The sequence below is a fragment of the Homo sapiens genome, chromosome 4 (genome assembly GCF_000001405.40).
Source record: "Homo sapiens chromosome 4, GRCh38.p14 Primary Assembly".
NCBI classification, from domain to species: Eukaryota; Metazoa; Chordata; class Mammalia; order Primates; family Hominidae; genus Homo; species Homo sapiens.
In genome coordinates, this window is record NC_000004.12 from 80,159,771 (window position 1) to 80,172,590 (window position 12,820).

General features: G+C 36.2%; 1 pseudogene; it reads left to right on the forward strand.

Moving 5' to 3' along the window:
* RPSAP39 (ribosomal protein SA pseudogene 39) lies at positions 1,283 to 2,311 on the forward strand (annotated as a pseudogene).

Consider the following 12,820-nt stretch of genomic DNA (forward strand, 5'->3'; position numbering starts at 1 on the left):
TTGCCACCTTCCAGTACTACAGTGTTTTGTTTAGAATGTTGCTTTAAATAAAAACAACAGTGTGTAACTTCTTCAGATTATCTTCTTTCACTCAGCTTAATTCTTTTGAGATGCATCCAAGAATTGTATACGAGACCAGTTTCTTTCTTTTTCTTGCTGAGTAGAAAGTATTCCATTATATGTATATACCGAAGTGGTTTATCAATTCATCCACTGAGGATGTTATGCTGGTTTTCAGTTTTTAGAAATTACAAATACAGCTGCTGTGAATGTTAGTTAATAAGATTTTGTGAATATGTTTCATTTCTCTAGGGTAAATACCAAAAATATGGGATTGCTTGGTTATGTAAGTGTATGTTTAACTTTTTTTTAAATTGCTAACCTATTCCAGACTTCCTGAACCATGATCTAATCACCTCCCACCAGTCCTGACCTCCAACAGTCAGGATCACAATTCAACATGAGATTTGGGTGGGAACACAGAACCAAACCATATCACTAGGTATGATCCATTCTGGGAAAAAATAGTTGTCTTTCTATGGACATGTAAAACAAGAAAGCAAGTTATCTGAATCCAAAACACAATGGTGGGACAGGCACAGACATTAAATATAGACAGTATAAACTTTTTCATTCCAAAAGGGAAAAATTGGAAGGGATAAAGAGTCACCAGTTCCAATTAATTTTGAAGTAGGGGACAATTTTGTTCAGTTTCAAGGCCTGTGTAACTCCCATAAAGAATGTATGAGAGTTAAAATTTCTCTGCATCCTCATCAGCAATAGGTATTTTCAATATTCTTAAATTTAACTATTCAATATTGAAAATTATGTGGTTTCAATTTTCATATCTACAATGATGAAAAATAGTAGATATCCTTTTGTGTGGTTATTTGTATCCATATATCCTCACTGTTGAGTATCTGTTCAAATCATTTACCTATATTTTAATTGAGCTTTTTATTTTCTTACTGTTGAATTTTGAGGGTTCTTTTTCTATTTTGGACAGAAGTCCTTTGTTGGATATATACGTTGAAAATATTTTATCCTAGTACATAGCTTATCTTTTCATTTTCTTAACAGTGTCCTTCCGAGAGCAAAAAGTTTTAAATTTTTATTAAAATCCAATTTATCTTTTTTATAAATGAATAACACTTATGATATCATGTCTGATAACTCTTTGATATCTTGCCTAACCCCAATTCATGTGTTCTTCTAAAAGCTTTATAGTTTTAGGTTTTACATTTAGATCTATTATCTACTTTGCATTAATAGTGATACAGCCTTTCCGCGCTACCTACAGAAGGGTCCATACAGCTTTGTTGTGAATTCCCGTCGTAACTTAAAGGGAAACTTTCACAATGTCTGGAGCCCTTGATGTCCTGCAAATGAAGGAGGATGTCCTTAAATTCCTTGCAGCAGGAACCCACTTACGTGGCGCCAATCTTGACTTCCAAATGGAACAGTACATCTATAAAAGGAAAAGTGATGTGATCTACATCATAAATCTGAAGAGGACCTGGGAGAAGCTTCTGCTGGCAGCTCGTGCCATTGTTGCCATTGAAAACCCTGCTGATGTCAGTGTTATATCCTCCAGGAATACTGGCTAGAGGGCCAAGCTGACGTTTGCTGCTGCCACTGGAGCCACTCCAATTGCTGGCCGCTTCACTCCTGAAACCTTCACTAACCAGATACAGGCAGCCTTCCGGGAGCCATGACTTCCTGTGGTTACTGACCCCAGGACTGACCACCAGCCTCTCACGGAGACATCTTATCTTAACCTACCTACCATTGCTCTGTGTAACACAGATACTCCTCTGCGCTATGTGGACATTGCCATTCCATGCAACAACAAGGGAGCTGACTCAGTGGGTTTGATGTGACGGATACTGGTCCGGGAAGTTCTGCCTATGCGTGGCACCATTTCCCATACACACCCATGGGAGGTCATGCCTGATCTCTACTTCTACAGAGATTCTGTAGATTGAAAAAGAAGAGCAGGCTGCTGCTGAAAACGCTGTGACTAAGGAGGATTTTCAAGGTGAATGGACTGCTCCAGCTCCTGAGTTCACTGCTACTCAGTCTGAGGTTGCAGACTGGTCTAAAGATGTGCAGGTGCACTCTGTGCCTATTCAGCAGTTCCCTACTGAAGACTGGAGCGCTTGGCCTGCCACAAAAGACTGGTCTGCAGCTCCCACCACTCAGGCCACTGAATGCGTAGGAGCAACCACTGAATGGTCTTAAGCTGTTCTTGCACAGGCTCTTAAGCAACATGGAAATAACGTTGACGAAAAATAAATATCAGTTTCTAAAAACAAACAAAAAAAAAGATATAGGTGTAAAGTTTAATTTTTCCTTTTGTTATGTTTTGTTTGCATGTGGGTGTTCAATTGTTCCAACACCATTTATTTTTTCAAAGAAACCAAACCTGTTCTTTCTCTATTTACTTATTTTGCACCTTTGCCAAAAATCAAATAGTTATACCTATATGGATTTACTTCTTGATTGTTTATCCTGTTCCAAGACTACTCTAGACTGATGTATGAGTCTGTTTCTTTGCTAATACCACATTTTCTTGATTATTGTAGTTTTGTAGTATATCTAAAAGTCAGGTGCTATGAATTCTCTAATTTTTAAGACTGCTTTAGTCATTTTAATTCATTTGGCCCTCTATATAAATTTTAGAATCAGCTTGTCTACGTCTACGAAGAAAACCCACAAAAATTTCATTAGAATTTTGCATAAAATTATAATTTAGCCAGAATTAACAACCTTCCTCTGTTTAATATTCTAATCCGTGAGCAAGCCATATCTTTCTATTATTCAGATTTTCTTTGATTTCCTTCATCAGCATTTTGTAGTTTTCAGCACACAGATATTGCAGTTTGGTTAGGTTTGTTACTATGTATTTCTTCTCTGTAGAGAGTTTTGTAATTTTTAAAAAAATTTTTGTTATCAAATTGTTCATTGCTAGCGTGCATAATAATGATTGTTTTGTGTTTTGACCTTGTAAACAACAAGGTCTGTGTTCTGTGTTCTGTAACCCTGCTTGACTTACATATTTATCCTTGGATTTAAAAAATAAATTTCTGGGAATTTTTATGTTGGAAATCATGTCATATGAAAATAAGGACAGTTTATTTCTTCCTTCTCACCTCATACATCTTTTATTTTATTGTTTTTCTTGATTTATTGCAATGGCTAGGTTTTCCAGGATGATGTTCAGTAATTTTGGTGAGAATGAACATTCTTGCCTTTTTTAAGAGGAAAGCTTTTTTAGGAGAGAAGCTTTCATTCTATTACCAGGAAATAAAATGTTAGAATAGATTATTGTAGAAATTCTTTATCAGGTTGAAGAAGTCACCCTCTATTCCTAGATTGCTGAAATTCTATTATTTTTTTCTTTTTAACGCAGTCTTACTCTGTCACCCAGGCTGGAGTGCAGTGGCATGATCTCTGCTCACTGCAACCTCCACCTCCTGGGTTCAAGCGATTCTCCTGCCTCAGCATCCTGAGTAGCTGGGACTACAGGTGTGCACCACCACGCCCAGCTAATTTTTGTTTTTTTAGTAGAGATGGGGTTTCACCATGTTAGCCAGGATGGTCTCTATCTCTTGACCTCATGATCTGCCTGCCTCGGCCTCCCAAAGTGCTGGGATTACAGACATGAGCCACTGTGCCCAGCCTGAAATTCTTTATCAAGAATGGGATACTGAACATATGCAGAATAATAAACTTAGACCCTTATATCACCCCATATACATACATCACCTGAAATTACAAAACTACTATAATAAAATATAGAGGAAAAAGCTTCTTAACATTGGTCTTCGCAAAGATTTCTTGAATATGACCCCAAAAGCACTGACAATAAAAGCAAAAATAAACTGGATTTCATCAAACTAAAAAGGTTCTGTACAGCCAAGAAAACAACTAACAGAGTGAAGAGACAACCTACGAAATAAGAGAAGATACGTGCAAACCATACACCTAATGAGAGGATAATATCCAAAATATGTAAGGAAGCCAAACAACTCAATAACAAGAAAACAGCATGATTTTTAAATGGGCAAAGGACCCAAATGAACATTTCTCAAAAGACATTGAAAGGGCTAACAGGTTTATGAAACTAATCATCAGGAAAATGCAAATCAAAGTCACAATGAAATATCACTTCACATCTATTATAATGCCTTTTATGTTTAAAAAAAGATAGAAGATGTTGGTGAAGATGCAGAGAAAAAGGAATTCTTGCACATTGCTGGTGAGAATGTAAATTAGTATAGCAATTATGGAAAACAATATGGAGGTTTTTCAAAAAATTAAAAATAGAACTACCATATGAACCAGCAATTCCACTTCTGGGTACATATCCAAATGAAATTAAATCAGTATGTGGAAGAGATATCTGCACTCCTGTGTTTATTGCAGCATTATTCACAATAGCCAAGATATTTAATAAACTTAAGTGTCCATCAACAGATGAACAAATAAAATGTGGTACATATGCACAATGGAATACTATTCAGCCTTAAAAAAAGAAGAAAATTCTGTGATTTGTAACAACATGAATGGAACTTGAGGACATTATTCTAAGTAAAATAAGTCCAGCACAGAAAGACAAATACTGCATGATCTCACTTATATGCAGAATCTTTAAAAGTTGAATTAAAAGATGTAGAGAGTAGAATGGCAGTTACTAGGGGCTGGCTGGGGACAAAGAGAGTATGGGAAGATGCTGGTCACAAGGTTTAAAGTTTCAGTTAGACAGCAGAAATAAGTTCTGAAGATCTATTGTATAGCATGGTAACTATAGTTAATAATAATGTACTGTGTACTTGAGAATTGCTAAGAGAGCAGATTTTAAATTTTCTCACCACAAAAAAAAGTATTTGAGGTGATGTACATGCTAATTATCTTGATTCAATTATTCCAAATGTATACATATATCAAAGCATTATGTTGCACTGCACATATGTACACAATACAACTTTTTAAAAATATAAGCCAGTGTGGTAGGTCACGCCTATAATCCAAGTACTTTGGGAGGCTGAAGCAAGAGGATGGCTTGAGCAAAGCTGTTCAAGACCAGATCTGGCAACATAGTGAGACCCTGTCACTACAAAAAATAAATAAAAAATTATCCAGGCATGGTGGCACACACTTGTAGTCTCACCTACTCAGGAGGCTGATGTGGGAGGATCACTTGAGCCTGGGAGGTAGAGGTTGCAGCGCGCTGTAGTCACATCACTGCACTCCAGCCTGGGTGACAGAGCGAGACTGTCTCAAAAAATTTGTATATCTGTATCTATATCAGATATACATCAAATATTGTCAAATGCCAATTCAGGATCAATTGATAAAATGTGGGTTTTTCTTCTTAGATTGTCAATATGATGAGTTACACAGATTACTTTTCAATTATTGAACAAACCTTGCATTATTTGAGTAAATTGCATTTTTCCTTAGTGCTGGTTTCCTGTTTACCTTTTATATAATGCTGTGTTCAATTTCCTGATATTTTACCAGGGACTGTGTCTATGTTCATGAGGAATATATTGGTCTTTGGAATTTTTTTTCCTGTATCACCTTTGTTTGAATTTTATTCGTGGTTTCATAAAATAAATTATGAAATATCTCCTTTATTCCATTTTCTGGAAGAAAGTATGTAGCATTAGTGTTATATCTCCTTTAAATATTTAGTAGAATTTAACTAGCATTAGTGTTATATCTCCTTTAAACATTTAGTGGAATTTAACAGTTAAGACACCTAAGCATAAAGATTTCTTTTTCAGAAAGCTTTTTTGGTTAACTTTGAATTCGAGGTTTTAATAGCTGTAGGACCATTCATATTATCTATATCATCTTGGGTAAGTATTGGTAATTTGATGTATTTCAAGTAATTTGAATTTCACATAATTTGTCAGATTTGTTGCATTTATCAATAGTATTAACTTAGTATCCTCTTAGAGCCTGCAAAGTCAGTCATGGTGTCTCTTCTTTTATTCCTGATACTGGAAATTTGTGTCTTGTCTCTTTTTTCTTTGTAAATCTTGCTAGAGCTTTATAAATTGTATCAATCTTTTAAGGGTATCAGCTTGTGTTTTCCTTGATTATTGTGTTTCTGCTTTTTATTCATTTGATTTATGTTGTTATTTTTACTATTTCTTTCTGTTTCTTTTTTTTCTTGTTTCTAGTTTAAGGTGGGAGCTTAGATTTTTTTTTTTTAGAATGTTTTTTCCCCCTCTCTTTCTTTTCTTTCCTTTCCTTTCCTTCCTTCTTTCCTCCCTCCCTCCCTCCCTTCCTTCCTTCCCCTCTTTCTTTTTCCTTTCTTCCTTCCTTCCTTCCTTCCTTCCTTCCTTCCTTCCTTCCTTCTTTCTTTCTTTCTTTCTTTCCTTCAAGTCTCACTTTGTCACCCAGGCTGGAGTGCAGCACAAACATAGCTCACTGCACCCTCCATCTCCCAAGCAATACTCCAGCTTTGGCCCCCAAGTAGCTGAGAAAACAGGCGCACATAACTATGCCCAGCTAATTTTGTGTTTTTCTTGAGATGGAGTTTAGTCATGTTGCCAAGACTGATCTCAAACTTCTGAGCTCTAGCGATCTGCCCAGTGTGGCCTCCCAAAGTGCTGGGATTATAGGCATGAGCCACTGCACCTGATCTCTTCTTTTCTGATAGATGTATCTTGTTGTTATAAATTTTAATCCAAACAGTGACTTAGTTGCATCAAAAAAAAATTTATGTATTTTCATTTTTCTTCATTTCAAAATATTTTCTAATTTCTCTCGAGATTTCTGCTTTGATACATGGGTTATTTCAATACGTGTTATTTAACTTCCAAGGGTCTAGAAATTTTCCTGTTAATTTTCTGATATTTGTTTCTTGTTTAATATCCACTGTGGTCAGAGAACATCTTCATATATTCCAAATATTTTAAATTTGTTAATTTTTTTTTATGTTCCAGGACACGTCTTATCTTGGTAAAGATTCCAATTGCATGTGGGAAAAAATGTATATTTTGCTGTTGTTTGGGGGAGTGTTCTATAAATGCCAATTAGATCCAGTTGTTCGATAGTGATACTTTTTTCTTCTATATCCTGCTTGATTTTTTGGTCTACTAGTTATTCTGTTACTGAGAAAATAGTATTGGAGTCTTCAATTATAATTGTATATTAGTCTATTTACCTTTTAACTTCCATTCCTTTTTGTTTTGTGTAACTTAATTACTATTACTAGGTGCATACAGATTGAAGATGGTTTTATCTTATTGATAATTTGACTCCTTTAACATTATATACTGACCCTTTTATTCCTGGTAGTTTTTTGGCTATAAAGTCTATATCAGTAATCAATATAGCCACTGCAGATATCTATTGATTAATGTTTTCAGGTGTTCATTTTTATCATTCTACTATTGACCTAATATTTTTTGATCAAATATATTTGAACACACTATTTTGTAGACAGCATAAATTTGTTTTGTGGTGGTTTTTTTTCCCTGTCTTTTCCATTGGTGTGTTTAGAACATTTTCATTTAATACAATTATTGAAAGTTTGCATTTAGAGCTACCATTTTATTATTTGTTTTTGTTCAGTGTATCTCATTTCTGTTCTCCTGTTTTCCCTTTCCTATTTTAGGTTAAGCATTTTTTAGTATTCTGGATTATATGGTAACTTTGTGTTTAACTTTTTGAGAAATTACCTACCATATCTTTGCCAACACTTATTATTATTTTTTTCTTACAACCATTCTAGTGTTGTGAAGTGGTAGCTAGTGATTTAGGTTTATCCATTGTTTTTTATTATATATTTTGTATAGCTTTTAAGCAATTGCACTAGGGCTTATAAGATAGCATGCTAGTTTTGCACAGTCTACGTAGAATAAGTATTTCACTACTTTAGGTAGACTATAGATACATTACCACCATATGTGTCTTTTTACCCTCCCTCCACATTAAAACCCCATCACAAAATATTATCTCACCTGCAATGTGTGCAGTTGTGATAAAATATACGTGCATAAAATTTACCATTTTAACACTTTTCCTTAAGTGTACAGCTCAGTGGCATTAACTACATTCACACTGTTGTGCAACCTTCACCACTATCCATCTCCAGAACTTTTTCGTTGTTTCAAACAGAAACTCTGTACCCACTAAATCATAACTCTCCTTTCCTCCTCACCCCACTGTTCTACTTTTGGCCTCTATGAATTTTACTAATCTAAATACTTCATACAAGTAGAATTATAAAATATTTGTCAGTTTGTACCTAGCTTATTTTCCTTAGTATAATGTTTTCAAGGTTCATTCTTGTTGTAGTGTGTGGCGGTATATCATTAGGTTTTATGGGTAAATATTATTCCATTGTATACATATAAGATATTCTGTTTATTCATTCATCAGTTGATGGATATTTGGGTTGTTTCCACTTTTTAGTTATGAATAGTGATCCTATGAGCATGGGCATACAAGTTTTTGTGCGAACATATCTTTTAAACTCCCTTGAATATGTTATCAAAGGATAGAATTTCTGGATCATATGATAACTTAACCTTCTGAAGAACTGTCACATCCTTGGCAACACTTGTTATTATCTGTCCTTTTTATTATAACCAATCTAGTATGTGTGAAATGATACCTCATTGTTGTTTTGATTTAAATTTCCCTCATTACTAATAATATTGAGCATCTTTTCAAGTGCCTATTAGTGATTTTTAAATCTTCTTTAGAGAAATGTCTATTTAAATCCTTTGCTCTTTCTTTAATTGCATCACTTTTTTATTATTGAGTAGCAAGGGCTCTTTCTATACTGTAGCTGTAAGACTCTTATCAAATATATGATTTGCAAGTTCTCAATGTTTTTGTTGCTTTTAATTTGAATATCATATTATAGAATTCTTTAGAAAATCCAAAATCATGAAGATTTTACCTCTATGTTTTCTTCTAAGAACATTCAGTTTTTAGGACTTCGATCCATTTTGAGTTAATTTTTGTGTATGGTATGAGGTAAGGGTTTAGCTTCATTCTTTTGCCTGTGGCTATCCAATTGTCCCAGCACAATTTGTGGGGATTATTCTTTCCCCATTAATGTTTTAGGACCCTGTGCACAAAATGAGTTGGCCATGGAGATATGGGTTTAGTTCTAGATTCTCAATTCTGTGCATTGTGTTATGGACTGAATTGTGTTTCCTGCCCCCCATATACATGTATTGAAGCCCTAACCCATCTGTATTTGGAGATACAGCCTTTAAGAAGGTAATGAAGATTAAATGAGGTCATAAAAGTAGGACCTGAACCCAATAGGACGGGTATCCTTAGAACAAGAGAAAGAAACACCACAAGTGCATGCTCACATAGGAGAAGACAGTGAAAAGGCAGCCATCTGCAACTCAGGAAGAAAGTTCATACCAGAAACCATTCCTGATGACACCTTGATCTTGGACTTTCAGCCTCAAGACCTGTGAGAGAATACATTTCTGTTGCTTAAGCCATCCAGTCTGTGATATTCTGCTATGGCACCTAAGCAAATAAATAAAAATGTTTGTCTTGTGCCAGTATCACTCTGTTATTATTACAATTGCTTTGTAGTAGGTTTTGAAACCAAGACATATAAGCTCTCCTTATTTATTATTTTCAGGTTTGTTTTGGTATTCTGAGTTCCTTGCAATTTCGCATTAAGTTTAGAGTCAGCCATCAATGTCAGCAAAGTCAGCTGGGTTTCCAATAAAAATTATGTTGAATCTGTAGATCAACATATTGCCATTTTAACAATATTAAGTCTTACTATCCATGACCATGGTATGTTTTTTCACTTATTTAATCTTCTGTAATTTCTTTTAACAATATTTTGTAGTATTCAGGGTATAAATTTTGCGTTTATTTTGTTAAATTTGCTCCTGTGGGTATTTTATTCTTTCTGATGCTAATATGAATGAAATTGTTTACTTAACTTATTTTCATATTGTTTATTGTAAGTGTATAGACATACAAATTATTCTTGCAGAGTGATTTTGTATCCTGCAAAACTGTTTAACTTAGTTATTAGTATAGCCACGCCAGCTTTCTTGTGGTTGTTGTTTGCTTGAATTTTTTTTTTTTTTTTTAGATAGGATCTCACTCAGTCACACAGTTTGGAGTGCAGTGGCACCATCTCAACTCACTGCAACCTCCACCTCCCAGGTTCAAGTGATTCTCATGCCCCAGCTCCCTAAATAGCTGAGACTGCAGGTGTGTGCCACGATGCCTGGCTAATTTTTGTACTTTTAGTACAGATGGGATTTCACCAAGTTGGTCAAGCTGGTGTCAAATTCCTGGCCTCAAGTGATCTGCCCACCTCAGCCTCCAAAGTGCTGGAATTACAGGCATGAGCCACTGCACCTGGTCTTTGATATTTTTAAATCCTTTTATTTTCAATCTATTTATGTCTTTGAATATAAAGTTTATCCTGAAGACAACATATAGTTAAAGCATGTTTTTAAATCAAGTCTGATAATCTCTGCTTTTTGATTTAATTGTTTAATTTACCCTGATAAGAAGTTTCTGTTGCATGTATTTCATCCAGTATACAATTTATACTTTTCCATTCTTTTGCATGCTCATAATTTGTTGTTAGAAACTGGACATTTTAGATAATATATCTTAGTAACTCTGGAAACTGGTACCCCGCCCCCCTCTAGGATTGCGATTATTATTTTCTTGTTTATTTGTTTAGTGAGTGCTGAGTTATTTTAGTTGAAGTCTATTCCCTGGCTTCCATTCCCTCACTTTTCAACATACACATCATGGTAAGCCTCTGATGCTCTCTGATCAGTGAGGCACAGTTCTGGGTATATCTAACAATTATCCTGGGATAGTAGTGGTACTGGTAAGATTCTCTCCCACCCTTTCGCTGATTACACCTAGCTGTTAAACTCTACTAATTTCTGGCCTATTGCTTAATTGTTTCCAACAGTGCCCTGGAACATAATTTTTTCTTTACAAATAAATCCAATTGGCCGGGCATGGTGGCTCATGCCTGTAATCCCAGCACTTTGGGAGGCCAAGGCGGGAGGATCATCTGAGGTCAGGAGTTTGGGACGAGCCTGGCCAACACGGTGAAACCCCGTCTCTACTAAAAATACAAAAATTAGCTGGGCATGGTGGCAGGTGCCTGTAATCCCAGCTACTCAGGAGGCTGAGGCAGGAGAATCGCTTGAACCCATGAGGCAGAGGTTGCAGTGAGCTGAGATTGTGCCATTGCACTCCAGCCTGGGAGACACAGTGAGACTCTGTCTCAAAAAAAAAAAAAAAAAAAAGATATACAAATAAATCTAATAATATTGTGACACTTTATATGGGAAAGTTTCTGAGATCAGTGTTTGCTATTTGTATTAACTCCAAGAGAGCTCCTGTCAGCTATCTTATTTCCCAGTTCTCTCTTACAAACTAGCTGGCCTACAGTCTAGGCTATATCTTCATTTGGTCCCAAAATTTCCTCTCAATTGCTTTTCACCACAACTTCTACTGTTCTTGAGAGTGCCCTTAAGTTTAAAATTATCTACACTTTGTTTGGAATAAAGTAAGATCCCTTGGGAAGAGATAAAGAGTTGCATGCTTTATGGCCTGATTCTCTCCCTAGGCAAAATTTCTGAGCTAGAGCACGGAGTTGGGGGTGGAAACAATGACAAGCTTCTCTCTGAGTAATACCCTGGCTCTAATTGCTGAATGCTTGGTGGATGGGGTGAGAGAGGAGTTTGCAGGTCTTTCAGCTTGCCACTCATGGTGTGGAAACTTTACTTCAAAGGCCAAGGAAAAGGCTCCCAAGGCTCCAGTATTCCTGTTAACAGCCCAATTGGTTCATCTTACCCACTGCCCAGAAAAGCCAATTCCCTGAAAATAGCAGATACTGCAGCAAAGAAAGAGTTTAAGTATTGAAAGCTCGGAGGCTAAGGATAATTTGGCAGGCAGGGGGTTAGGGACTAGGTCCTGCTGATTGGTTCAGGATGAAATCATAGGTGTATCCAAAATGTTCTTCATGTGCTGAGTCAGTTTCAGGGTAGGGGGTCACAGGATTGGTTAAGTCAGTTCCCTGGTATGAGTCACAGATCCAGGTGGCATCAACTGGTCAGCCAAAGTGCAAAAGTCTGAAAAATACCTCAAAGACCAATATTGGGTTTTGACAATACCGTTGGTATCTATAAGAGCAATTAAAGAACTTACAAATCTTGTCATCTTCGGAACTGTGGCTGGTTATCATTTAACTACATCTACATCTTACCAGAATTCATTCCCCACTCATAATCCTAAGCTTTTGGCCTTTCATTAGTCCTACAAAGGTGGTTTCAGTCCCCAGAGGGGGTCAGTTTTTGGGGGAGACTATTATCCTTTATTTAAAGTTAAACTATAAGCTAAATTCCTTCCACAATTAGCTTCGCCTACACCCAGGAATGAGCAAACACAGTTAGCTTGTTAAGTTAGAAGTATGGCAGTGTCAGCTAGGTTACATTTCTCTCACTGTCATAATTTTTGCAAAGGTAGTTTCATTCTCAATGCACCACACCCAAGGTAGAACTTCCTTTTTACAAGAAAGTGTTGGGTGGGAGAAGGAAGCTTCCTCCTCCCAGTTGTATTCACCTAAGACTTAGCCTTAGCAACAGACAGCTACGGGCAGGACCAAAAAAGCTCAAGTTATGTCCTATTGCAATGAAAGCCCTGCAGCTGACACCTAAGGAATATAAAGAGTCATATTCTTGGCTGCAGCGTCTGGAGTAGAGTCTCTGCCTCACTGAGCTGGGAGGGGCAAGGAAAGTAGTAGTTTCAGTTCAAATGTCACAGACTCACC